General features: G+C 44.5%; 1 protein-coding gene and 1 long non-coding RNA gene across 2 annotated transcripts in view, besides 9 other annotated features; one reads left to right on the forward strand and one right to left on the reverse strand.

Annotated features, from left to right (window-relative positions):
- The window catches only part of TTC9-DT (TTC9 divergent transcript), a 32501-nt gene extending 22091 nt beyond the window's left edge, over positions 1 to 10410 (reverse strand). The window contains exons 1-2 of the long non-coding RNA NR_110071.1: positions 10120 to 10410; positions 2874 to 2970 (exon numbers count right to left, since the gene is read on the reverse strand). This is a non-coding gene — a long non-coding RNA (TTC9 divergent transcript). The remainder of the gene's footprint in view (positions 1 to 2873; positions 2971 to 10119) is intronic.
- Positions 4910 to 6109: an enhancer, noted in NCBI's record as "P300/CBP strongly-dependent group 1 enhancer chr14:71102515-71103714 (GRCh37/hg19 assembly coordinates)". NCBI's record gives its function as "activates an origin of replication core promoter dependent on BRD2, BRD4, P300/CBP, MED14 and CDK7 cofactors, with strong dependence on P300/CBP, by STARR-seq in HCT116 cells {active_cell/tissue: HCT116}" and the evidence as "EXISTENCE:reporter gene assay evidence [ECO:0000049][PMID:35650434]".
- Positions 9923 to 10102: an enhancer, noted in NCBI's record as "active region_8656". NCBI's record gives its function as "activates an Ori minimal core promoter by ATAC-STARR-seq in GM12878 lymphoblastoid cells {active_cell/tissue: GM12878}" and the evidence as "EXISTENCE:reporter gene assay evidence [ECO:0000049][PMID:35858748]".
- Positions 10203 to 10462: an enhancer, noted in NCBI's record as "active region_8657". NCBI's record gives its function as "activates an Ori minimal core promoter by ATAC-STARR-seq in GM12878 lymphoblastoid cells {active_cell/tissue: GM12878}" and the evidence as "EXISTENCE:reporter gene assay evidence [ECO:0000049][PMID:35858748]".
- Positions 10933 to 11082: a silencer, noted in NCBI's record as "silent region_5887". NCBI's record gives its function as "represses an Ori minimal core promoter by ATAC-STARR-seq in GM12878 lymphoblastoid cells {active_cell/tissue: GM12878}" and the evidence as "EXISTENCE:reporter gene assay evidence [ECO:0000049][PMID:35858748]".
- TTC9 (tetratricopeptide repeat domain 9) overlaps positions 11028 to 27222 on the forward strand; it is a 33451-nt gene continuing 17256 nt past the window's right edge. The window contains exon 1 of the mRNA NM_015351.2: positions 11028 to 11647. Within this exon, the coding sequence (NP_056166.1) occupies positions 11242 to 11647 (406 nt within the window). The 5' untranslated portion in view covers positions 11028 to 11241. The remainder of the gene's footprint in view (positions 11648 to 27222) is intronic.
- Positions 11303 to 11492: a silencer, noted in NCBI's record as "silent region_5888". NCBI's record gives its function as "represses an Ori minimal core promoter by ATAC-STARR-seq in GM12878 lymphoblastoid cells {active_cell/tissue: GM12878}" and the evidence as "EXISTENCE:reporter gene assay evidence [ECO:0000049][PMID:35858748]".
- Positions 11513 to 11582: a silencer, noted in NCBI's record as "silent region_5889". NCBI's record gives its function as "represses an Ori minimal core promoter by ATAC-STARR-seq in GM12878 lymphoblastoid cells {active_cell/tissue: GM12878}" and the evidence as "EXISTENCE:reporter gene assay evidence [ECO:0000049][PMID:35858748]".
- Positions 22633 to 23219: an enhancer, noted in NCBI's record as "OCT4-NANOG-H3K27ac hESC enhancer chr14:71120238-71120824 (GRCh37/hg19 assembly coordinates)". NCBI's record gives its function as "activates a minimal SCP1, AML or CMV promoter by ChIP-STARR-seq in primed H9 embryonic stem cells {active_cell/tissue: H9 hESC(primed)}" and the evidence as "EXISTENCE:reporter gene assay evidence [ECO:0000049][PMID:30033119]".
- Positions 23593 to 23732: a silencer, noted in NCBI's record as "silent region_5890". NCBI's record gives its function as "represses an Ori minimal core promoter by ATAC-STARR-seq in GM12878 lymphoblastoid cells {active_cell/tissue: GM12878}" and the evidence as "EXISTENCE:reporter gene assay evidence [ECO:0000049][PMID:35858748]".
- Positions 23793 to 23852: an enhancer, noted in NCBI's record as "active region_8658". NCBI's record gives its function as "activates an Ori minimal core promoter by ATAC-STARR-seq in GM12878 lymphoblastoid cells {active_cell/tissue: GM12878}" and the evidence as "EXISTENCE:reporter gene assay evidence [ECO:0000049][PMID:35858748]".

Here is a 27222-nt window from a genome sequence, read left to right on the forward strand (position 1 = left end):
CCTATGATGCAGTAGATCATCAAGATGCCAAGATGTTCAGCCAATAGCCAGCAAGGAACAGAGGCTTGCCAACAATTACGTGACTGAGGCTGGAGCTGGAATCTCTTCTAGTGGAGCCTTCAGATAACGTCAGTCCTGGCCAACAGCTGGACTGCAACATCTTAAAATAACTTAGCCAAAACTACACAACTAAGAGACTCCTACAGAGACCATGAGATTGTTTGAAAATGATAAATGATATTTTAAGCTGCTAAGTTTGGGGGTAATGTGTTACACAGCTACAGATAACTAAGATATCTCTCTAGCAATTCTGCAGGAAAAAAAGTAGTGTGATTGGCGGGATTGGGGGATTTAAAAAAGACTGCTAAAATGTTAAATGCTTGCTAATGGAAACCCAAGGTTACAGGATCAGAGTTTCATATAAATTTATGAGGAACAAGACAATGACCAAAAAAATCTACATATAACCAACAGCAGAGCCAGTCTTAGCACTTGGCCAAATAGGTGCTGCCAAGTAGATAGAATTTGAGAGTTAAAAGTTCCAATTACCCTTAATTAGCCTGAAATTTTACCATTAGAGATTAATGTCATTGAATCTTATAGCATCAGGTCTTTAAAGTTCTCCTGGAAGGGATTATATCTTAAAATAGTATTTATAATAGGATTATGACAGAAGACAAAAATCTAACTAATGAATGGTTCATCTGAAGAGACTTTTGATACAAAGACTATTTATATAAGTGTGGGCATGGTTAAAGAAACCAAGAAAGAATGTTGAAGTATCCAGAGATTAGCAAGAGAGGGAAGATATTTTGGCAAAAAAAGAAGGAAGGAAGGAAGGAAGGAGGGAGGGAGGGAGGGAAGGAAGGAAGGAAGGAAGGAGAGAGAAAGAGAAAAGAAAGAAAGAAAGAGAGAGAAGAAGGAAGGAAATGAAAGAAAGAAAGAAAGAAAGAAAGAAGGGAAGGGAAGAAGGGAAGGGAAGGGAAGAAGGGAAGGGAAGGGAAAGAGAGAGAGAAATAAATTGTATTACCAGAACCCATTAAGAGGTAGACTCAAGGAGGAAGGGCCCCCTTGTTATAATAGTGATAAAAAAATCGACCGCTGCCAAAACCTTGGTGCCAAAGCAGGGAGGAAGTGGGAAAAAAATGTTAATCTGTCTTCTCTCATCCTCCAGTCTCATGTTGGTGCCTCCCTTTTGCCAAAGCTGACGCTCAATAAGAGGGCAAAGAGCCCAGTTGGTGCAGAGGTCAACCTCCCAGGACATAAAGCCAACAGAAAAAACAGGGAATGGACAGCAGAGGGTGGCACAGTGTTGGAGCATCTTTGGATTGGAGAGAATCAAAGATCATCCAGGATGATCATCCAGGCATTCTGCAGAGATCCTCTTTATTGCAGGAATAGCAAAAACTCTAAGGGAGGCAAAAAGCATGACCTTTGGGGTAAGGCACACCTGCTTCCAAGCTGTGTGACCTTGGTCAAATTACCGAACCTCTGAAAACCTCAGGCTTCTTCTAAGTTGAGCCTCAGAATAACAACCTCATGGGTATGGGTGAAATTAAGTGATATACACAGAGGTGTGGAGACTGGCCTCTTCCCTGACAGGTAAGCTACTGACTTAGTTAAATATGAAAGATTTGATGCATCAGAGTCACACTGCAACCTAACTTTTCAACTAGTTAAGTGGTTCATCAAAACATCTTTGTTACTACTTAAATAGCCATTGACTGAGGCCTGATGAAATACATTCTGATGCACTCATAAAAACACATACTATATAGCTATATTTCAAAACGTAGCAGTTCTGTATACTGAAATATAGTGATTTCCAAGATAATAGTTATGATTGAAGATATATTACATTGAAAGCTAGAGAGACAGATAATCTCTATCTCTGGAGTGATACATAAAAAACAAGTAATAGTGGATGCCATTGGGAAAGATTTTGGAGGGCTGGGGCCAGGGGAGAAGGAACACATAGTATTTTTAATATATATTCCATTATATAGAATACTGTTTGAATTTTTTCCCATGTACCTATACTATCCTTAAAAAAAAATTAAAAAGGCCAGGTGCAGTGGCTCACGCCTATAATCCCAGCACTTTGGGAGGCAGAGGCAGGCGGGTCACTTGAGGTCAGGAGTTTGAGACCAGCCTGGCCAACATGGCAATACCCCATCTCTACTAAAAATACAAAAATTAGCCAGGCATACTGGCACATGCCTATAATCCCAACTACTTGTGAGGCTGAGGTGGGAGGACCACTTGAACCCGGGAGTTGGAGGTTACAGTGATGACACCCCTGCACTGCAGCCTGGGGTAACAGGGTGAAACTCCACTTCAAAAAAAAAAAACCTTCCTTGACACCAAGAGTCTTTAGAGTTGGTGTCTTGTATTCTTCTATTTTTTCCATTTATTCCACAACCATTACAGAATGCTTGCTAATATATATACTAGGTGCTTGGCTACAAAAAGAATAAGACACAATCTCTGCTTTCAAATAGCTACAGTCTAGTTGTAAAGACAAAAAAGCAAGCAGATAACCATTATGCAGTGTAATGAGTATGGCTTATCTTATTTTCCTTATTTAAAATGTGAAGACATACACACACATCCAATTCCACTTAAGCTCTTTTCCCACTGCAATTATCACATTCTAACAGCCTATGTAATTTATTTATTTATGATGTTTATTTTCAGTCTTCCCTCATTCTACAAAGGTGACAATTTTTGCCTTTTTAATTCATTGATCTCCAACACCTAAAACGTGAAATATTTCAATAGAAGTTTGTTGAATGAATGTTGAATAAATAAGTGCTATGCAGTATAAAAGCATGAAAAGGGAGCTACCAGAACATAACAGAATGAACACCAACCTTGTATATGGAAGTCAGTGGGACTTCATAGTGGAAGTGACATTTGTGCCAGGTCTTTTGGCAAATCTGGGTGACTTTGACTGGAACACCTAATATTCTAAGAGCAAGCAAATGAGAAATACAGAAACATGAAACATGTAGGAAACGGTAAGTACAAAGGCATAGAGATATAAGAATAGTACATCTGGAAAACTAAACATATGGCAATAAATATTAGTTGTTGGTAACTGTGTAAGCTGGGTGATAGGTTCTTAAAGATTCATTATGCTACTCTTTTTTGTGTGTATGTTTAAATTTGTCCATAATACAAAGTTAAGAATTAATAAACTGTTTTAATGAGTATAAAAGAATAGAAAAAAGAATTTCTCTCTTCCAATGTCTATATATATAAATCTCAGAGAAAGCTCTGATTGTCTCTACTTGGTCCATGTGCTTCTCCCTGAAACCAATCACTATGGTGTAGGAAGATAGAATAACATAATGGGCTCAAGCCTGGAATAGGTACTAGCAAGTCGGGGGGAGGTGACAGGGGCAGTGTAGGGAGCTAGAGGACACCATGATTGACAGTTCCACCCGACCACATGGAATAGGGGAAAGAAGAGTGTCCTAAGGAAGGTTGGTGGCTGATCCAAATAAATATCATGGCCCCAAGGAGGGCTTCAACTGATACTGGAGATGAGGCAGTCAGAGAATGGATTGGGTGGCAGGAGACAATGGAGATAGGTAGAAAGGCCTTATTTTTCTAAATAAGGTCAGGCTGAATCAGGCTCTGGAATCATAGAGAAATTTGTTGTTGGGTTGGGGTTGTGAGCAGAAGGTAGAAAGAATGAAAATATGAATCTCACATTAGCTACATCTGGACACAAAATACTCAAAAATCTCCTGCTTTCCCATAGAGGGATATTTGAAGATTGAATATGGATAACAACTTTTAATGAAAATGCTATAATTTTTCAGGTAAATTGTAATGTTTGATGCAATTAGAAAAACATCCCCAAAACAGCTTTGATTTGGTTGTCATGTGACCAAACCCTGAATAGCTTAGCTTAGTACAAAAGATATTCAAATACATGTCTCACATATGCTCAAGAGATTGAGCTGAAGGAAGAGACAAAGCAGCACAAGCCATCTGTTTAGAAGGTACGCAAGCTCCAGAGTGAGTGTGGAGAGAAAGGGGCCTCCAGTCTTCCAAGACCAGTGGGTAGCAGAAGAGTCAAAGACTCCAAGAGGCAGAAACAAGATCCAGAACTGGGGCAGACACAATGCTTGAAGCCTGTAAAGGAACATTGTGCCTTCTACTGTTGACCATACAAAGGTCTTTCCCTCAAAACAGTTCCACACACTTCTCTAGGAAATCTTCCAGCATATCTCAGCAGTAATGAGCTGTTCGCTAGTGGTGTGAGCATCCACAGGATTCACTGGTGTGTTCAAGGCTAGCTTGTCAGGAAACAAGAGACAGGTTTTGATGACATTGGGCCAAAGTACCATGAGTACTAGAAACTTGCCGTGTGGCCCAGTCATCTTTCTGCTTCATGAGGTTCATGAAGAATCCATATATGCATGTGCCACTGACAGATGAGAAATTAAAATACCACTTTACAGTTACCTGAATAAATGCCCAATTTCTTAGTGTAGAACTCTTCTAAAAACAAAGTTAGAGGCCGGGCACAGTGGCTCATGCTTATAGTCCCAACACTTTGGGAGTCTGAGGTGGGCGGATCACTTGAGGTCTGGAGTTCGAGACCAGCCTGGCCAACATAGTGAAAGTTCCTCTCTACTAAAATACAAAAATTAGCCAGGCGTGGTGGCATGTGCCTGCAATCCCAGATACTCGGGAGGCTGAGGCACAAGAATTGCTTGAACCAGGGAGGCGGAGGTTGCAGTTAGCCGAGATCATGCCACTGCACTCCAGCCTGGGCGACAGAGTAAGACTCAGTCTCTGAAAAAACAAAACAAAAAAACAAAGTTAGAGCAAGCAGCCTATACTAAAGGCCTACAAGGGCCTTCGTCTCCCTATGACATACCAAAATCTCACTTTCTTTCCTGCCACATTAGACAAGATGCAAGCAAAAAATGTACACTTAGCTATGCATTTGAGGAAGAAAAAACATGGCCAGATCCCAAGGGAAGGCCCTGATTCAGCTTACCTATTCCTGCTGCACTAAGAGAAAGCTGAATGGAGGTTCATAACTCTGTTCATGTTAAACATGGATCAATTGATTCCCTAGAATCTGGCCAATCTGTAAACAACCCCTCTCTGGGAAAAGGTGAAGATTAGGAAAGAAGGGAAGATACTGAGCCTCCTGTTGGAAGTAAACGCTCAATGCCGCCAAGTGAAAACAGCACTCAGGCAAAAGTTTTCTCAGCAAGGCAATTTACTTCTATAGAAGGCTGCGTCTCACAGATGGAGCAACGGCAAGAGCACACCGGACAAGGGAGGGTAAGGGGGTCTTATTCCTAACGCAGCTAGTCCCTACCTCTGTGTCTTTCCCCTATTGGCTAGGGTTGGACCACAAAGTCTAAGCTAATTCCAATTGCCTATTTTAAAGAGAGTGAGGGTACAAGCTGGAGTGGCAAGGTGAGTAGTTTCCATGGGAAGGATGGTTACAGAGCAGATGACTAAGAATGACTAAGGACAGAACAGGTGACTAAGGATGACTACAGACAAAAGAGGTGACAGAGGCTAGGAGGAGGTTGTTTACTGAAACTAGGGGCAAAGAGGCATAAAGAACAAGGAAGTTAAACTTTAAAATGGAAAACAAAGAACAGGGAAGCTAAACATACTGACATATTGGTTCTTTGAAGAGGAACTCAGAACTCATTGTACTTAACAATTTTTCTCCCTCTTGAATTTTAAAGGGAGTTAACAGGCTAAACTTTGAAGAGGAATTTACTGTATCCTACACTCCCTTCCCTCTAAACACTTGCTTCTCAAAATGTGGTCCAGGGACCAGCAATATCAGCAGCACCTGACAGCTTGTTAGAAACATAATCTTGGGGCCGGACGCAGTGGCTCACGCCTGTAATCCCAGCACTTTGGGAGGCCGAGGTAGGTGGATCACGAGGTCAGGAGATCAAGACACAGTGAAACCCTGTCTCTACTAAAAATATAAAAAAATTAGCCAGGCATGGTGGCATGTGCCTGTAGCGCCAGCTACTTGGGAGGCTGAGGCAGGAGAATCGCTTGAACCCGGGAGGCAGAGGTTGCAGTGAGCCAAGATCATGCCATTGCACTCCAACCTGGGTGACAGAGCGAGACTCTGTCTCAAAATAAGAAAAAAAAAAAAAAAAAAAGAAACATAATCTCGGGCCCCAGCCTAAATTAACAGAGTCAGAAAACTGCATTTTAATAAGATCTCCAAGCAATTCGTATACACATTAAAGTTTGAGAAGCACTGAGATTCTTTTTTATATTTTTTGTATTTTTTTATTTCAATAGCTTTTGGGGTACAAGTGGTTTTTTGTTACACGAATTGTATAGTGGTGAATTCTGAGATTTTAGTGCACCCATCACCCAAGTAGTATACATTGTGCCTAATGTATAGTTTTGTTTTTGTTTTTTTTTATCCCTAGGCCCTCCCCACTCTCCCCATTCTGAGTCTCTAAAGTACCACTCTGTATGCCTTTGCGTACTCATAGCTTAGCTCTCACTTATATATGAGAACATACGGTTTTTGGTTTTCCACTTTTATGTTACTTCACTTAGAATAATGGCCTCTGGCTCCATCCAAGTTGCTGCAAAAGACGTTATTTCGTTCCTTTTGATGGCTTAGCAGTATTCCATGGTATATACATACCACATTTTATTTATCTACTCATTAGTCAATGGGAACACAGGTTGCTTCCACATCTTTGCAATTGTGAACTGTGCTGCTATAAACATGCATGGAGAAGCACTGAGTTTCTGACTCTGAAGTTCATGCTCAGATTTTCTGTCATTTGGGTCTTTTCTCACTTCCTAAAATAGTGCTCTGCATATGGCCAACGGTTAATGGAAGAACGTTTAAGAAATTCTTGTTGGCATTTATTTAATTCCATTTGAAGGAAGAAGACCATTTTTGGGAAGCCAAAACACGTTTACCAATGAGTGGCTTAAACAGAGACAGAAGTATACTAACAACAAGCAAACAGAACGGTTCTAGACCTACACAGACAACTCTGTGGAGCGGGACAGATGGGCATAGTAATTCTACTCTCACTCCATGCTACCGCTCTTAATATTCCCTCCCTTCCTCGTTCATGCTCGCCTTTATCGGAGCTAGTACTAAGCTCTTGTGTTGAGTTCTGCTTCATACACAGGTTAGTAACGCATGGGTTCCATGTTTCTCAGAGCCGTGTCCTCAAACCCAAAATCTAAGAGTGAGATACTGCACCATTAAGCCAGCACACAGTGGGAAAATAAAAAGCAATTTGGCATGTCAATATTTCTTAGCTTTAAATGGTTGTGACCACTGTGACCCAATTCACGTCTTATTTCTGACAGGAGCCAAATTCCAGGCCTGGGTCTTTATCCAATATTTGCCTCCTGTAGCCTGTCCTATCTAAGTTATTTTAAGGACTGGTAACAACAAAAATTCGGAGTGCCCAACCTCTAATTTCTTCTCTTTGCTCTACCTGATGCAATACCTTAAAGTAAAAAGAGCCGGCAATTGGCAAATATTTATGAATTAACTGGAGTTCTGTCACAACATTCTTATGGGATCCAACAGTGACAGGATTTAAGAGCAATAATTAAAGTTACCATCTGTCCAGCACTTATGCTTCACAACAACCCTATGAAGTAAGTAGTAGTCCCACTTAATGAATGAGGAAATTAAGTTTTCAGAAGTTGAATAACTTGCCCAGGAAATAGTCAAGATAGAATTCCAGATAACACTTGTCTGAGTCTAGAATCTTTTAACCACTGAACTTATACGATGTCTCACTTGTAAGATACCACTGCAAACGCACTGTGTGAGCAGAGAATCATCTCCCCTCTCCAGGGATAATGTGAGGATCAAATGAGATGAAAAATGTCAAAGCATTTAGGAAAGTAAAGAAATACAAGACATAATTTAGCACGCTAAAATTGTGTCCAACTAAAAGCCCTAGGTTCTCTATAAATGACAACGGTATATGTGAAAAATGTTCACCTTTATAATTAGAGCTATCTCATTTAATTCTATATACATTTTTAATTTATCAAATTAGAAAATATTTCTTAAGAGCTCACCCTTGACGTTGGCAAGGAGGTGGTGAAACTAGCATATTGCTGGTGGCAGCACAAGTTAGTACAATCTTTCTGAGAAGCAAGTTGACAATGTGTTTCTAGACTTTATTAAAACTTGAAATAATGTTTTGTAAGAAAAAATAAATTAGGAAAAAAATTTAAGTATAAAGATAGTTAAGAGCATAGATTCTGGAGCCAAATTTCTTGGGTTTAAGTCCCAGCTCCACTACTCATTAGCAGTGTAATCTCAGGCAAGTCTCTGTGACTTGGTGTCTAAAATGAGGATAACAATAGCACTGATTTCACTAAGTTATTATGAAGATTCAGTGGATTATTATATGTTAAGTGCTTAACCCAATGCCTGGCACAATGTAAATACTATATGTAAGTGATATCTATTATTTTTATCTCAGTGTTATTTATAATAGCAAAATCTTTCTGACTATAGAAGAATGCTTAAGTACACTATGGTACACTTACAGTGGAATTTTTTTTTTTTTTTTTTTTTTTGAGATAGAGTCTCCCGCTGCGGCCCATGCTAGAGTGCAATGGCACGCTCTTGGCTCACTGCAACCTCTGCCTCCCGGGTTCAAGCGTTTCTCCTGCTCAGCCTCCCAAGTAGCTGGGATTACAGGCAGCCACCACCATGCCCAGCTGGTTTTTGTATTTTTAGTACAGATGGGGTTTCACCATGTTAGCCAGGCTGGTCTTGAACTTCTAGTCTCAGGTAATCCACCCACCTCCGCCTCCCAAAGTGCTGAGATTACAGGCGTGAGCCACTGCACCCGGCCACTTACAATGGAATATTGTACAGAATATTAAAAATTAGGCTTTAAAAGAATATTTAATTACATATAATGTAAAGTAAAAAGCACAGGAAGCAAGCCTGGGGAACATTGCAAGACCCTGTCTCTACAAAAAAAATAATTAACCAGGGGTAGTGGTGTGCACCTATAGTTGCAACTTCTCAGGAGGCTAAAGTAAGAGGTGAGAGGATCCCTTGAGCCCAGGAGTTTGAGGCTGCAGTGAGCAATTATCATGCCACTGCACTGCAGCCTGGGTGACAGAGAAAGACCCTGACTCAAAAATAAAAAAGAAAAGAAAACAACAACAACAACAACAAACAGTAAATGAATTGTGTATATTGTTCCATACCACTTATGTTGGCTAAAAGAGCACTTTTTACAAATATAGATGCCTAGGAAACAACTGGTAGGAATTACATCAAAATATTAACAAAGAATACAACTGGGTGTAGACTGGGGGGTTCTTTATACTTTACTGTATTTTCCAAAGTCTCTACAGCAGTGTTTCTCACACTTTAATAGGTAAACAAATCACCCAGTATGCTCGTTAAAATGCAGCTTCTGGGTTAGTAGGTGTGGGATTTTCAGATTCTGCATTTCTGATAGGTTCTCCTGTGATGCTGATGATATTGGCCCAAGGTCTACATTTTGAGTAGGAAGGTTTTAAAGCAGCATATCTGAACCAATATACTGGTTAACTGAGACCCACCCTCAGAGTTTCTGATTTCTTAAGTCTGGAGTAGGATCCTAGGATTTGCATTTCTAACTGTTTCCCAGGTGATGCTGACACTGCAGGTCTGGGGCCAGCACTCTGACAACCGGTGCTCTAGAATCTTTCTTTTTCTTAACATTAAGGAAGGGAGGGCACTAAAAAATATGTCAGGCTTCTCCATTGACTCCAAAATCAAATCCAAACTCTTCATCCAAAAGCCCCCATAATCCAACCCCGTCATTTCCCACTACTTCTCATTAGGCTATAAAATCAAACCACTATGCCCTAAACACACCTGAGATTTCAAACATCAGGACTTCCGCTGGATTTCCTCACTCCGGCTATGCCACTTCCTTCTACTTCTTCATGCCAAATCCTACCCAGCCTTCAAGGTCCTCAAATGCTATTTCCTCCATAAAGCCTCCTGATCTACCACTACTCAAAAAGCTACCTCTCCCTCCCCCCCTCAGGGCTGCACAGCACTTTTCGTTCCTCCCCAATGACAGGCACCATCTGTACCTGGTCCAGCGACTCTACCGGTGGGTGGTGTATCTTCGCCTGTAGACTGGGAGTTTCTTGAGGTCAGGGGAGTGACTTGCCTATCTTTGCCTCTTAGCCTTAGCAGATCCCCAGTAGACAGCTGACACTCAGAACCGACCAAAAGAAGGAAGGAATGGGACCTCCTGAGGAAGGGCACAGAACTGTCCTGTAAATGGAAACTAGACCGGACGCACGCCAAGCCGATGACCCACAGTAACAGGTGTTCTCCATCTCTGATGTCTGTGATTCATCCTGCACAGCTGCGCGCACACAGCACACGCATACACAGGCTCCCAGAATACGGCGCCCCACACGCTGTACCGCCCGTCGCGTTCTGGACGCCCCGGCGACCACACACACCGAGACACACCTCAGCGACAACCTGGATCCACAAAAAGGAGGCCCTGCCCCCTTAAAAAATACTAACACCTTACTGCAAAGAACTAGCAGCTACGGCTTGCGCCTGCGCCCCTTGTTCCCTGCCGCACCTTTTCTTGTAGTTAAGAAATCTATTTCTGCACGCATTTCGTCGCCGCCGCCCCCCATCCCTACACGCACGCACACACACACACACACACGCACACACACACACTCCCCTTCCCCTACACCTACCCCCCTCCCCCCACCTCCTTTCAGACTAGGCGCGCCTCGCAGAGCGGGATTGAATGGGAAAGAGCGGGGCCGTCTTTGTCATTAATCCTCCCCTCCTTCGGGCAAGCCAAGCTTCTTCCGGGTCAGCGACCATCCCCGCCACCCCACTCGGGGCCACGGTCCCCCCGCAGCGCTAGTCCCGGGCCCGCGAGCACCGGCCCCCGCCACCCGCAGGTTGCGGAGGGAGGAGGGCGGGAGCGGGCGGCGCGGAGCCGGGAGGCGGGGGAGGGGCCGGCGTCCGAGGCGGCGGCGGCGGCGGCTGGAGCAGCCTCTGGCAGCAGCGGGGAGAATGGGAGTGCGGGGCGCCAGACCGCCGCGGGGTGTCACGGCCGCCACGAAGCCTGCGAGGCGCGGGGCCGGCGCCCGCGGCTTTTAAACCCGGGAAGGCGCGGCGGCGGCGGCGGCGGCGGGCAGATCGCGGCGCGCACCAGGCGCCGGGGCGGCGGCCGAATGGAGAGAAAGGGCTCGGCGGCCGGGGCCAAGGGGAACCCGAGCCCGCCCGCGGCCGGAGAGGGGCAGCGGCCACCGCCGCCGCTGTGCGTCCCGGGCGGCGGCGGAGGAGCCCCAGCGAGGGGCCAGGTCGGGGCGGCGGCCGAGCCGGCCGAGCTCATCCGACGAGCGCACGAGTTCAAAAGCCAAGGGGCGCAGTGCTACAAGGACAAGAAATTCCGTGAAGCCATAGGCAAATACCACCGGGCGTTGCTGGAGCTGAAGGGGCTGCTGCCGCCCCCCGGGGAACGGGAGCGGGACTCGCGCCCGGCCTCCCCGGCTGGGGCCCTGAAGCCCGGCCGCCTCTCGGAGGAGCAGAGCAAGACGGTGGAAGCCATCGAGATCGACTGTTACAACAGCCTGGCAGGTGAGCCGCGCCGCGCCCCCCGCGCCGCGGTCCCCGTTCTTCGGCCCGGTCCCTCCGCGGACCACTGCGGCGCTCCCGCGGTGCAGATTCTCCTGCTGTGACTGTGTTGCTCTGGGGAGAACCCGGGAGGGAGGCGCTTTGGAAAAAGTGTGACTTTCAGGATTATGCCTTTCAAAGGCCATAATCATCTCTTGTCCCTTCGCTAGCATACATCGTAAATCTCACCTAGAAATGACTGGAAGGGGACCCAGCTGGCCTGGCTATGGCTGCTGCTGCTACTGCTCACCAGTGGACCTGGGTCCAAAATGCGGAAGCAGCGCCCGGGGTGGGCCCCCGCAGCCACCGCTAGCCCAGCTTTTTCCTGCGGGTGGGTCCCAAGGGAGGCCACGCACCTGTCTGCTCTCCTTAGGTAGCATGAGCACCAGGATTGGTCCTCGCCTTTTCCCCAACTAACCGCATCCCTGTAGGTAAGATCTTCCCCAAGTTTTTTGGCCCCAGTAGCAAAGGGGAGTTTGACACCATGCCTTCAGCATCTTGAGCAAAATGGATTCCAGAATGCCACTTTCTTCTCTCTGAGCTCTGCTGGGGCTCCCGGTTGCCAGGTGAAGATCTCTATCTCAAAAGAAGCTTGGTTCATGGTTGGGCTTGAACTATGCTGCATTCTCCCTCTCCTCCCTGCCCGTTTCTCACTATGTGTAGCATCAGTCCTCACGCCAGCTGGCTGCTAGGGGTGAAGGAAAAGGGGGCCCTACTCTTGGGCAAAGAAGGTGTACATTCCAACATTCCCTTTGGGGATAAGAGCCAAAATCAGGGATTTAAAAATTGTTTAATTTAGGCGCAGGAATATTTAAAGTCTCTTAAAAAAAGAAGAGTCTGGCTCTTGCTAGGGCCTTCCTGGGAGAAGGTGGGAGAGGTTGGCAAAGGCAACTTAAAAAGCATTCTCTCCTCTTCTCTTGCCCCATTTGGTGAGATTCTGGCATGGTCAACCTTCTCCGACCAAACAAAGGGCAGTTCCTCCTAGTTCCTGACATGTGAGGTTGCCTAAACTGTCTATGGACAGTTAGAGCAGGGTAGGGGTGGAAGAGTGACTGGGTGTGGCAGGGAATGGTGAATGTGTCTGAAGCCGAGGCAGTGGTGGGGGAGTAAAAATAAATACTGGCAATTCTGCTCGGTTCTTAAATGCAGATCTCTCTGTTCCCTCTGAGGTTTCTAGTACCAGCCTACCTCTGTCTTCCCAGAATGCCATGCCCAGTCTCATCTTTGATCGGGTAAAACCCAGGCTACGGAGGCACTTTGTAAATTGTAAAGTACTTTACAGACTTAAAGGATTAATAGAGTAGTAGTAGCAGCAGTTGGAGGAGTGGTGGTGCTAATAGCAATACTAGCAGTAATAGTAGCAGATAAAATTGTAGTACAGCAAAAATGGACTCTTTCAATCCATTATAAGATACAGCTTGAGTCCTTTAGTTCCTGTAAGTCTTTGGCATACTGTCTGCTGCCCCATGAATAGTTAAAGGGCAGAGCAGCCATGGGTGGAGGACGAGGCACTGTGGATTGCTAATGCGGTGACTTTGGAGTGGTAATGGAATCTTATATTTAGTCAGTATTATCCATGGACATTCTAGGGCTGCCAACCAGTGGCTAGCACTGCCTGCCCTCCACCCCAGACGTGGTTACTTTTCCATGGTGAAATCAAAGATGTGTCCTTGGTCAGGCCAGCCCAGTCAGGGCGGGACTGAAATCTGGATAGCTCCACCACTCCCATCCTCACCTCACACACTGGAAAACTTCAACGGTGAGAGAATGGAAAGTAGCAATAGCAGATATTCCCCCTCTGCTGCCTTCTCCAGTGCTCACCACTTATATTAATAATTAATTGTGTGTGCTGTTAGGCATCCTCCATACATTGTCTCTTTAAATCTTTATAATCTATGTAAAAGAAATATGATCATCAGTTTTGCAGAGAAAAAGCTCAAGGCTCCGGAGCCATTCTTCTCCAAAGGCAATGTTCTTGTCATCATACTTTGATGCACAAAGTCAGCATCCTCTGGGCCTCTGTCTCACTTGAGCCCAATTTCAGGTGGGCTCCAAAGCCTTGCACTTTGGAAATTCCTTTGGGAGATCTCAGGCCTGGTAACCAGGAGAAAGAAATAGAATACTTTGATTCAAGGCTCTAACGGGCTATTTCCAAATGTCAAGTCTCACAAAAGAACGAAAAGAGTGATTATAAGCAAAGCAATTTTGTCAAAGCCAAAATTCAGCTAGGAGGATGGTTCAACTTAAAAGTCACTCTGGGGCTGGGTGCGGTGGCTCACTTCTGTAATCCCAGCACTTTGGGAGGCCGAGGCGGGCGGATCACGAGGTCAGGAGATCGAGACCATCCTGGCTAACACGGTGAAACCCCGTCTCTACTAAAAATACAAAAAATTAGCCGGGTGTGGTGGCGGGCACCTGTAGTCCCAGTTACTGGGGAGGCTGAGGCAGGAGAATGGCATAAACCCGGGAGGCGGAGCTTGCAGTGAGCCGAGATCGTGCCACTGTACTCCAGCCTGGGCGACAGAACGAGACTCTGTCTCAAAAAATAAAAAATAAAAAATAAAAAAGTCACTCTGGGGAGAAGTGGAAGCCTTATGTTTGTTTCCTTCAGGGCTATGTATAAAATCAGTGATGACTATTTCAGAAGTCCCAGCTAATAGGAAAGTATCCTTTCTTGTCAGATTACAAAATAATCAATGCCTCTAATATGTATTTTCTTTTGTAAAACACTAAAACGTTTAAAGAAGAAAATACACAATTACCTCTAATCCAGTTAGAAACCCACTGTGGTGTATTTCCTTCCTGTATTTTTTTCTGTGAATAAATGTAAACAGTTTACAAAGCTGAGGTCCTCCTGTGTATACAATCAGGTATCCTGCTTTTAATCCCAGTTATTTATGTCAGAAGCATTTTCACATTTCATGAAAATATTTTCATGAAGATTATTTTAAATAGCAACAGAAAAGTTTTACATGTGTATTTATACTTCTCATTGGCTAGAAAGGAAGGAAAGATGATCACTGGTATTGCTGTTAGAGCCAGAACAGTGCAGCATGGCCCATGAGATATCTTTTCCCCTGTGTGCCTGCTAAAAGGAAGGAGACCAGCAACTGGAGGTTTATTCTGGAAGAAAGGCCACTGACCCTTCGACCAGGTCTGCAGCACCAGCTGAGTAGCCCAACAAGCTCCAGGTTCTGGGGGAGTCTGAATATATTTAATCAAGGATCCATCCTCCTTCTACACAAAGCTGTGCATAGAGAGACAGGACTGGGTTTTAGGAGGAAGTTGGACTACTAGCCCAGAAGTACCTGGAAAATTAAGCTGTGTTGCTAAGGGCATCGCTGCTCCAAACAAGAGGTGGTTATGAGGCTTCTGGAATACATCTAGGCTCAGTGAACCCTTGTACTCCACATGGAAGCCTCCAAAAGAATAGCAAGAGGACAGCTAGAATGTGCTAAGAGATGTCGGTCTAAAAACCTATTTGGATGACTTGAGGGGACGCATGAAGGGTGTGCAGGCAATTTGCAAAGGGCACCAGGTTGTGGTCTCTTCTGGCTGGGATTTCCTTTTGGTTGGAAGAGATCTGGCCAGTTGTGCTGGGCCCCTGGGTGTAATTTTTGCGTATCTTGTTTTCCAGGAAATTCAAAGAAATAGGTAGGGATCGTTCTGTTTCTACGGAATTTTGAATGATCCTGATACAATGATTAGAAAAGATATCCTGACCTTCCTGGGGAGACATAGGAATCTGATCTTTACAGAGGCTACAAAGGAAGCATGTATTGGCCTGTTGATGGACTCTTCTTGACATTGAACAAGACACAGGACTCCCCTGGGGCCTTGGAATGTTCAGTGTAGAACCCTTTGAAGGGCAGAGTCTTTTGCCCTACATCTGTTCCTGTGGGGCTGTGGTGGCCCTAGCAGAAGTGTGATCAAAGGGATACAACACACAATAACTTTGTTGGTATTTTCAAATGATGTTCAAGGCTCGAATGCCAGCAGTAGAGATGGAAATCAACAAACCATGGCATTGGACCTGAAGGCTAGGAGCTTGTGCCTCTGTCCCTGGGATACCTTGTGACCTTGGATAAGCCCCTGCCATTTTACTTTACCTCCATTTTCCCATCTACTCAGAGCTATGTTTAGGAGATTTTTGTTGATCTTACCAAAGGGGCAGCTAATATCCATTGATCCCAATTGAAGCCTTGGGATAGGGATGTGGCAAGGCCTAGAAGGAAGTCACACTGGGAAATGCCTGGGATGGTGCTGGTTTGAAACAAGCTTTGCTTTTCAGTGCTTGTGGACACGTCTTAAAGCCATGGGATCAGAGCCAGCCACATAATTTGCAGGGCCCAGCATGAAATGAAATGTAGGACTCTTTGTTGAAAAGGCAGGGAGGAAGTGTCGCTAAAGATCCTGAAAGATAAAGCTTTTCTCTTTCTTTTGTTCTCTCTTTCTCTTGACTTGACATGGTGTTTTGCATTTGCTATTTGATGTCATTGCAAATAAAAAATTTTAAAATTTAATTATTAGCATAGATTTTACTATTCTTTATGATGTGTGGTGCCAGTTTTAAATGAACTTATAGGAACACTTTACTTATATGAGGAATTATAAAAATTATACAATTTATACTTCTGTAGCTCATACATGCATATGTATTTATTCTTACTAGAACAGTGGAAATGCTGCACCAAATAAACTAAACTATTTTTATTTCACTTTTTTATATGTGTACTTTATATGCATACTTCATATGTGCACTTTCCACCAGGCTTTCAGATGAGCCAGGAAAGGAAAAGGGAATACACGTGACCCTACCCTTTCCTTCTGTGTCATCATTTTCAGCATGAGTGGTTGGCTAATATGGGAAAGCAACATAGGTAGGAAAGGATATGATAGGGTTCCTAGATTATTTGTGTTTCTGAGAACATTTTTTTTTGTCCATGTTTGAAGCCATTTCTAGTTTGAATGGAAAGAATGGCCCTTTGGGACTGGCAGCATATTCATTTAGTTATGGGCATAATTAAGTCTTGATGAACTCTCACGCATCATGGGGCTCCTAGAATTCTTTGCTCCTGGGGCATTGTGAATGCTATATGCAAATGGGGCAGCAGAGAGTGGTATTGTGCCCATCTCCTCTGTCCCTGCTCATGCTGTGTTGTCCCATCAGACTTCACTTAAACAAAACACAAGTTTAAAGATAAAGTGACTAAGAATTTCAAGAAGGCAATAGCAGAGTATTAAATGAAGTACAGGTTCCTTCTGAGTGTGGGGCTCTATGCAACAGCACAAGTTGCCCACCCTTGAAGCCAGCCCTCAATGGGACACCAGAAGATGGCTGGATGGATACATCTGAGGTGGACAAAATTGGATACAGACTCTAAGGCAGAGTCTAAGAACAAAGGGTATTCAACAGATGTTGGTGTAAAGATGGATGAGTTACAAATTTAAAAACTCAGTGGTGAAAAGGAGGTCAGGGGCTAGAGACAAGCAGTAACCTTGCAATCAGAGGATGAATTCCTAGGGTAAGGATTGGTCAAAAGAAGGGAAAAGAATATAGGCCTCATGTCAAGATGCTCAGCCAAGATCTTGCCATCCCGATGGGAGAGCTTGACTGGCTAAGCTGTTGTTGACCTGGGGCTGTTCCTTAGGTAGCACCTTGACCAATAAATCTTAAGGGTCAAGTAAATGGGGCTTGTAATACCTTCTTCCAAGGAAGAAAGTGAGAATTGAAACTTGCAGAATGCTTTCAAGGAAGGTACTGGGAAGAACATTACAAATTTAGACACTGGGCTGAGTTCCTAAAGTGGATTTGGAAGCTCCTTAGTCCACCTCCAAGGGAAATAAGTCAGGTGGCTTTTAGCCAGGAACTCTTTAGGACATCTTGAAATCAGAGTCCCTACAGCCAAAATACATGGGAGTGCCCCCTCCAAGGCAAGGAAATTCATCTGCAAAGCAGACAGGAAGGCCAAGATGTGGAGCAGCCAAAAGCAGCTCCCAGAGCTTTCACTGGTTGTGGGTGACCTCCAGATTCACTATAAGGAAATCCTCTCCTCACAGCTGTTCTCTTTCACCACCAGACTGTGCCTACTCCAAACAGCTAGGATGAAAACTGAATGTTTCAATCAACCAACTAGAGATTTCCTAAGCCCCTTTGGGAAGGCAGATGTCCATATTTGGAACAAAATTTTCCGTTTCACCCAGATGATTAGTGTGGCCCAGACACGGAGCAGCAACTCTAAGGTCTAGCTCGGACAATGGTACCAGACTTAAAAAAAACAAAGATAATGCTGCAGGGATTAAAGGAGTTTAGCCTAACTGTGGTATTTATATGGCCTTGGAATTATTTATTACCACTGTAAAGCTCACTATCTTATACAGACGTACAATGTCATATCCCCAGCAAAAGTGTGAAGTGGTACTAACAAGCTCAAGATTTCTGTAAAATCAGAATTTTGATTTTGGATTTGGATATGACCCCAAACCCTATATAGGTACATGGATTCACCTGTCAATACTACCAGCTTGTCATCCCACATGAGCTAGGCATTTCCAATCATAGGGATATTCACCACCATCTGAAGCAAACTTTTTGACAACCACCACCACCAAAACAACTATAATAATAATGGTATCAGTAATGACAGAAAGGATTACCATGATGAGGCCAGCACATAGTAGATGTTCCACAAATGTGTTTGAAATGAATGAAAATGCTTTTCCCAGCATCTGTCTCTTGTTAGGGATCCAATAAATTCAATCATTCCATTAACGTTTATTGAGCACTTATTATACACCAGACTCCAGGCTTGGGGGCTGGGTATATAGCAGTTAATATGAAGGACAAGATCCCCGCCTTACATGAACTTATGTATATATAATTTCATTTGATCTGTACAACTCTGTGAGACAGAAAAGTCAACCTTGGAACAGTTAACATCACTTGCCCATGGTCACATAGTGGTATATGGCAAACTGGGATCTCTCAACCACTGGGTCTGTAATTCCAAAGCCTGCAGTTTTAGCCATTCACCCTACCACCTCCATCTTTAGGGGTTTCTTCCTTAGATAATAAAACTTGTCTCACTGAAATTTCTTTTAATCCATCAATATTCTACTCTTTGAAGCAACACAGAGTATATATCATCTCTGTAGCAAAGACAAGCTTTGACATTTTTAGGGTAACTCTCTTGCCCATCTTCCAGTCTTTCCTTCTGGCAGTTAGACATCCTTTTACTGTGAACGTGCCTTGTGTGATTAGGACTTCCATTCCATGGCCATCCTGGGTGGTTAAGGGGAAAGTGTCCTGTGTTCTGAAACCAGGTCATTGTTTCCCTAGGTCCTGCCATGTCAGTAGGAAGGTGACCTGAATTTGTATGGACAGTGGGGAGTGAGAAGCCCTGTGAGTCATAATTTCTAATGAACATAGAGACTGCAGAATCCCCGCCCATGTCTCTCCTCTTTTCTTCCTCCCTTGCTTTAGGGTGTGTGAATTCCAGTTAAGAGGTCTTGAGAAATCGAAGTAGAAATGTGAAGAGTAGGAGTTCATTTCAGCCATTAAAGAATATACTTGGCTGGGCACAGTGGCTCACAGCGGTGCAGCACTTTTGGAGTCCAAGGTGGGTAGATCACCTGAAGTCAGGAGTTTGAGACCAGTCTGGCCAACATGGTGAGAACCCTGTCTCTACTAAAAATACAAAAATTAGCTGGGCATGGTGGCGCGTGCCTATAATCCCAGCTACTGGGGAGGCTGAGGCAGGAGAATCGCTTAAACCTGGGAGACGGAGGTTGCGGTGAGCCGAGATTGCACCACTGCACGCCAGCCTGGGCGACAGAGCAGGACACCATCTCAAAAAAAAAAAAGAATATACTTGATGAGGAAAATAAAAGGGGAGTTCTTTGAAGGCTAAAATTTCCCCAATTCTCTTCAGACATCTTCTTAAGAACGTAGCAGAAGTGGGGCTTAGTGAAAAGGGACCTGGACTGCAAGTTCTGTCTCTAACTTTCTGTGTGCCTTGGATCAAAGAATTTTACCTCTTGGACCATGGTGTTCTGATTTTCAGAAAATTAAGGGTTGAATTCTAAGATCTCTAATCTCCTTTCCAGGTCTTAAAGAAAAATTCTCCACATCATTCTTTCTGAACTGTGTGGCCATTACATGGAATAGAGAAGTTCTATGTGTGCTTAGAGATACGAGTCTCCAAAACCTATATTACTTGAAAAGGCAGAGTGTAGAACAGTCTTTAATATGATTTTCTTTGTGTAGAATTTTAATAAGAGAATAAACATATATGCTAGTACAGTGTTCGCATTCAAGAAAATTGTCTCAAGTCATACCAGAGAAGCAGTTAACTGTTACCTTTGAAAAAAGAGGCTAGGCAAGGAATAGGGCAGAGAGATTTTAACTTTTTTTTTTTTCTTTTTTTGAGACATAGTCTCATTCTGTCACCCAGGCTGGAGTGTAAGTAGCACGTTATCAGCTCACTGCAACCTCTGCCACCTGGATTCAAGCGATTCTCCTGCCTCAGCCTGCCGAGTAGCTGGGATTACCAGCGTGCGCCACCATGTCCAGCTAACTTTTTGTATTTTTAGTAGAGATGGGGTTTCGCTATGTTGGCCAGGATGGCCTCTAACTCCCAGCCTCAAGTGATCCCCCTGCCTTGGCCTCCCAGCATGCTGGGATTACAGGCGTGAGCCACTGCACCCAGCCTAACTTTTTACTTTAAATCTTTCTGTAATGTTTGACTTCTCTACCTACATACATTATTACTTTTTTTTAAGAAAAATGATGACATGGGTTATCTGTGTAGAGAAATTATGAGTAATTTGCATTTTAAAAATATTCCTGAAGAAAACATAACCTACAAACATAATTTTAATGCCATTCTGGGTATTATCATGCCCTGTCTATACTTGTCAAGCAACATTATCCCACAAAAAAAAAAGTTTGAATGCCTCACACTTTCTCTTAATATCTCATAAAAAGACTTGTCTCCCTTTCTGCAGTGGCCACCATCCCAGTCCACACAAAGGGCTAGATCCTGGCAGCATGGTACCCCACAGAGTAGGAGCATGCCCCCTAGACTCTGTTGCACATTAGTGACAGTTTGAATCTTCTGGTGAGGCAAAGAAGAGAGTTGAGTCAGCACTTGTGATGTAAACTGGTTCTGAATGTTAGTCATATGTCTCTGGTGTCGAGGAAGGCATGGTGTAGGTGCTCAGCATCCAAGGTTCTTGTTAGCTCCTGAGTCTAGAAATTCCGCATGTTGGAGGCTCAGCCAGAGCAGCCGGAGCACCCGGAAGGAAGCTCAGTCATTCCATTCATTGGATTTTACTGGACACTCGCTATGTCTCTCCACAGCCCAAATCTAAATCCTTTCTGGTTTAAAAAAAAAAAAAATACATGGAGTGGGGACAGTTGGGACCAGGGTTTTAGTCCAGGCTCTGCTGCTAACTTGTTCTGTGACTTTGAGCAAGTCACATCCTGCTAAGCCTCAGTTTCCCCATCTGTAAACACTGGGGGTTAGATCAGCTTCCTGCCAAGCTTTCTTTCAGAAGCATTGAACTATCCAGGATTTCAAAAGGCTTCTAGCAACCCCCTCCCTGCCTTGATCTTTCTGGGAGCAGTCGGATTTGGGGAAGGAAACAGGAGACAAGCTCTCTTTTATTCCAGCTTACTGGTATGTGCTGACAGTAAGTATTAAATGATCCCAACTGAGATTTCCAAGGCAACCCTTGCAAATCTGGGGGTAAACCAAATGGACGTCAAAGCCTCCTTGGATGATACAGTCAGGCACTGGATTTCTGAGAGAAAATGAGTAGGAATTGAAGCCTATGTAAAATATTATCTGGGCCCTGGAATCTAAATTGATGGCACCAAATAGTACTCATTGCTGCTGTATCTCCCTAGATTATCCCCAAATTCAACTAATCAAGCAGCCATTCAGCATCAGAAACCTGGCAATGCCAGCTATATTAGGCCAGGAAGTACTGGTAGCAGTGAAAACAAAAAACAAAACAAAACAAAAGCTTTTGATAAACAGACTGGCAAGAGTTTGAGAGAACAGTTGCTGGCTAAGTTCTAGCATCTCAGAGAGTTCCTACCCATGGCTCAAGGCTGGAAAGCCCTGGGGATTCTGGGCTGGATCTGAGCATTTGGGGATGTGATTCTGGGCCTGTTACTTATGTCCAATCAGAACTGCACTCCTTTCTCTAATGGATCTGCACCTCCAGGTTGTGGAGACCACAGGACCATTGGAAACTTGAATGGACTCTGATGCCTATACAGAGAGGGGGGTATCCCATGAGTGCCCATGAGGATGGAAGGAAGATAGAACACACAGGAAAAGATAGGAAGCAACCTAGACCTCAGAAAACCTGAGGGGTAATGTGGCATAATGGAAACAGGTCTTTACATAGTGAAATCTGAATCTGAATCCTAGCTTCCCTACTTCTTCCTCCATTAACCTTGGACAGGACCCAACCACTGTGGCTTCTGTTTCCATGACAGCATGTGAGTAATAATAATGTACCACATAGGATTGTTATGGTGATTAAATTAATGATACATGCACACATGCCTAGCACAGTGCCTGGCTCATAACAGATGCTTAACAGATGCTAGTTAATATTTGAATCTAACTCCTACTCCAGTATGCATGAAGACAGAGGAAAATATAGGGAAAGAGAGAGGGAAAGAATGCAGCAAAGAAGGCTATGGGGAAACACGGGAAGCAAGTGAGCAAAAAGGTGAGGACAAAACAGGGGCCAGGGGAAAGAGTGCCATCTCCCTAAGTGTCTGCAAGACAGGAGAGGTGAGAAGGTATAAGCCAACAGCCTTTGGTGTGGACATTGTCTACCACCATGCCTGGTGTATTCCTGGTCAAGGGAGGCTGAGTGAACATATAACTCATCAGTTAGTTGAAAGACCACAGAGTTCCACCATGACCAAGAGCCCATGGGTCAGGGGTCTATGCCCCTTCCAGCTTCTCAGGATTTGGGTCAGTCTAAGAAACACTTAGAAACTGTGGGTTCTAGGCACACATCATCTCCAGCCTGAGATTCTCCAAATGAATAAGGCTCAGTTAGACAGTGCCTGTTCCCTGCCACTTTTCACACTTTGCCCCAGGATTCCCCCTGACCCTGTCTTTGAAATGAAAAGCAGGGAAAGAACTTCAGGCACTCTCACAAGTCAGACCAGTTGAGAATCTGACAGCGGAAAATAAGGATTTGCCTGCTGGGAAGAGAAGATACATGCTGTGATCATTTGAGTCCCCAGGGGAGCTTAACAAGAAAGAAGGCTTTCTGGTGGGAAGAGAAACAGAGGATGGCAGAGGCTCATAGAAGGAGACATCCGACAGAGAAGCCATGGGGCTGGCAGCCTCGGGACTGCCCCACCCACCCTCTTGTGCATCAGGCAGATGCCAGCTTACTGAGCTTCCTTATTGGGGTAGGATGAAGAAAGTCCTTGGCTTAATCAGGCATCTTGGGAGTGAGAGCACTAGCAGGTGTGTCCCTTGGATCCGCTCACAGCTGCTCCTCCACCAAAACACCCAGGGTCCCTCATGACCCTAAGCATCCCCAGAACAGTGCCCCATGAAGAGGCAGTGCTTTCTGCCTAGGAAACCCTTCTGAATCCCTTTTCACACCTCTCCTCCCAAGTTCCTCTTCCCCTCATCCCCCAGCTCTCTCTGAAGGGATGATAATGGTTAGTGGTGACTTTTTAAAAATAGTTTCTGCCCGGGAGTGGTGGCTTATGCCTGTAATCCCAGCAGTTTGGGAGGCCAAAGTGGGTGAACCACCTGAGGTCAGGAGTTTGAGACCAGCCTGGCCAACATGGTGAAACCCTGTCTCTACTAAAAATACAAAAATTAGCCGGGCGTGGCGGTATATGCTTGTAGTCCCAGCTACTCAGGAGGCTGAGGCAGAAGAGTTGCTTGAACCTGGGGGCGGAGGTTGCAGTGAGCCGAGATTGCACTACTGCACTCCAGCCTGGGCAACAGTAAGGCTCTGTCTCAAAAAAAAAAAAAAAAAAAAAAAAAAAAAAAAAAATTCTAATTACAAAAGTAAAGCATCATAGTTGCAGAAGTTATTGATACTAAAAGAAAAACCTCAGACAAATTAAATTTAGCAGAGTTTAATTGAGCAAAGAATGACTCGTGAATCGGGCAGCCTCCCAAGCCCGAATAGGCTCAGAGAGACTTCAGTGCAGCCACATGGTGGAAGAAGATTTACGAAACAGAAAAAGGAAAGCCACCGTACAAAAAAATGGAAGCGAGGTACAGAAACAGCTGATACTTAACAGCTCTGCATTTGCCTTATTTGAACTCAGTTTGAACACTTGGTTGCCTTTGATTGGCTAAAACTCAGTTGATTGGCATAAGAGTAGGTTGCAGACTGTTTACACATCCAGCTAGTTTTCAGTTTACTATGGTTCCTTATGTACAAAGAAACCTTTAGGCCAAACTTAGACTATGTAAGGAGGCAGCTTTAGGCTAAATTTAATTTAGCATTGAAAATATAAGAAATTACAAAGAAGCAGCCCAGGCTCAGTGGCTCCCGCCTGTAATCCCAGCACTTTGGGAGGCCGAGGTGGGTGGATCACCTGAGGTTGGGTGTTTGAGAACAGCCTGGCCAACATGGGGAAACCCTGTCTCTACTAAAAATACAAAAATTAGCCAGGCGCAGTGGCGTGCACCTGTAGTCCTAGCTACTCGGGAGGCTGAGGCAGGAGACTCGCCTGAACCTGGGAGGCGGAGGTTGCAGTGAGCCGAGATCGCGCCACTGCTCTCCAAGCGTCGCTTGGGCGACAGAGCGAGACTCCATCTCAAGAAACAAAAAAAAAAAAACAAAGAAGAAGGTAAAACTCTGTCATTTACCACCCCAAGATGACAACAGTTAACCGTTTTGGTTTATTTCCTTGCCGTTTTTCTTCCGTGTGGGTGTATGATCATTTATATGTAAAACAAACATCAGCCAACCCCCTTCAGGTCTACCTTTCCCAGTGTATTTAGGAAACAAGGGGTTGTTCTCACGTGGGCTGGGGCCACTGCAGGGACCTCCTGTCTTTTCTCCCCTCCCCTCCCACAGGATGCTGCTCACTCTGTTTGCATGACAACCAAGGGGCCACTCGACTTCCTGTTGCTGCTACTTCCTTTTCACATTCCACAGCACCACTACACCCAGATGTATAATTTCACTAGACTTTACTGAAGGTTATGAGATGCAGAAGGAGTTTACATCTCAAAAATTGAATAGTAGAAATTCTTCCTCCTAAAACTCATTTGGCCATCAGACCACCAGGAATTTCAAATGGACCACTCACATTTTTTGGCAGGTTCCAGCTCCCCGCCATGCTGCTTGGACTCTTTCTCCCCGCCAGCTCCTCTCAGCTTCTTAGGTTTCCCCACTCTCAGATTCCCTTCATTTCATATACAAAGCAGTCTGGGCATCTTTTCATCTACGTGTGTGCCTGCTACTGACCTCTAAGCTTCACCTTCCCCACCTGAAGCAGTTGATGAAGCCAGTCTCCTCCAAAAAGATAATTTATTCCTTTAAACTCTGCTATAGATATTACAAATTCTTCACCCATACAGAAGGAGCAGAACTTTTAAAAGAAAAAATAATTCTTCACCCTGATACACACACACACACACACACACACACACACACACACATTTATTTTTCACAACATTCAGGTTTATACTGTACAAACTTTAGCAACCTTCATGTTTTTCCACCAGTGTTTTCATTGAAAATATTTTTCACCGTTCCACAGCATGATTGTAATGGCTGTGTAATGTTCCATTGCACCAATGTCCCATTATTTATTTAACTAATCTACTGATGGATACTTAGGTTATTTCCAGCATTCTGTGATTACAGCACAATGCTGCCAAAGACGTGCTCTTTCCGCTATACATGTGCCTGTTAATTATCCTATCCCCAAACACATCTGAGGACATGAGGGAAAGATGGTGGGAGAGGCAATAGGAACAGGGAACATGTCTCTGGGGCAGGAGAGGGGATTGAAATGGGAGACGTTCTTTAATGTCCAAAAAGAGAACAGGATAGAACTCTGGCTTCTAAGGTCTTCCCATTCTGGCTTAGAGTTTCTGCCAATGAACGTGACGTGTGTACTTGGCCAGAGCTGAGAAGGAAAAGATAATATGGGGCGATGGGTTTCTTCTGAATATTTCTGGGAATACACTCATCTTCACATTCCAAATGGCCAATCTGGCCACTCCAAAGTCCCGCTTCCAGACTGAGGAAGGGGTGTTAATGAAGATTCCAGCAAACAACAGCTCTGTCCTACCAACTTTTCACTACTGCCTTCTCCCTCTCTGTCTACTACACCAAAGTCAAGGGTGAGAGTAAGGGGCCATAGGTGGGATAACTTCTAAGTGTTCTGCCATAGCACCCAGATTGGTGCCAAAGGGCTGAGCTGACCTTAAGCTTTGGCATTACAACTCCCTTGGGCAGATTCCTATATGCTTTAAAGGACTGTCAATGTAAGCTTTCAGCTTACAGGATTTTATACTGACTTTCCATGCAGTTCTTTTACCTGCCACTTTGACAGCTATTTTTGCCAACAGAGGGTAATTAAAAAGAATATAAACTCCTTGAAGATATCAATATCTCTTGAATGCTTTCCATATTCCTTATGAAGCCCTGGGCACAGGCCACGATGAGTGAATCCTTATTGACTAAGTTTACTAAGAGTGCCTACCCGAAATTGTGTAGTGATGATGCGTGGGAAGCAGCAGCTCTGGTAGTGATCCCAAAGGTGGGGCATCCATGTGAAGAATCAGAGGGATTCAAGGGAGCAGCTTGGTTATGATGAAAAGGAGAGATCTCCAAAGACAGTGTTGCTAAAACAAAGAAAACAAAAGACACACTTGACAGTGTTTGTTTGAATCTAGTGCAAGCACATACTAGAATGGAAAAGTGGAAGGTCAGAAATTAATGTGAATGGAATCAAAGGAGATTTAGCCCCCTAGATAAAGCCAAACAGCTCCTGGCAGTAGAAATAGCAGCAGCAGTAGTGGGAGACTCTCTGGGCAGCAGGCAGGAGAAATAGGTATTGGAGTGAACAAAGAAACGGCTACTTGTGGGCCAGACACGGTGGCTCACACCTGTAATCCCAGTGCTTTGGGAGGCCGAGGCGGGCAGATCACCTGAGGTCAGGAGTTCAAGACCAGCCTGGGTAACATGGTGAAACCCCATCTCTACTAAAAATACAAAAATTAGCCAGACCTGGTGGCAGGCACCTGTAATCCCAGCTACTTGGGAGGCTGAGGCAGGAGAATTGCTTGAACCCAGGAGGCAGAGGTTGCAGTGAGCTGAGATAGTGCCACTGCACTCCAGCTTGGGCGACAGAGCGAGACTCCATCTCAAACAAACAAACAAACAAACAAAGAAACAGCCACTTGGAGGGTGCTAACTCTCTGAGCCAGAGTTCTCAGTCCTCAGACTTGATAAAGACCTTCAGAGATCAGCCAGTCCGGGTTTCCACCATTACCACCAGCTCTGTTGGATTG

This window comes from Homo sapiens, chromosome 14, assembly GCF_000001405.40.
Source record: "Homo sapiens chromosome 14, GRCh38.p14 Primary Assembly".
In the NCBI taxonomy this organism is placed as follows: Eukaryota; Metazoa; Chordata; class Mammalia; order Primates; family Hominidae; genus Homo; species Homo sapiens.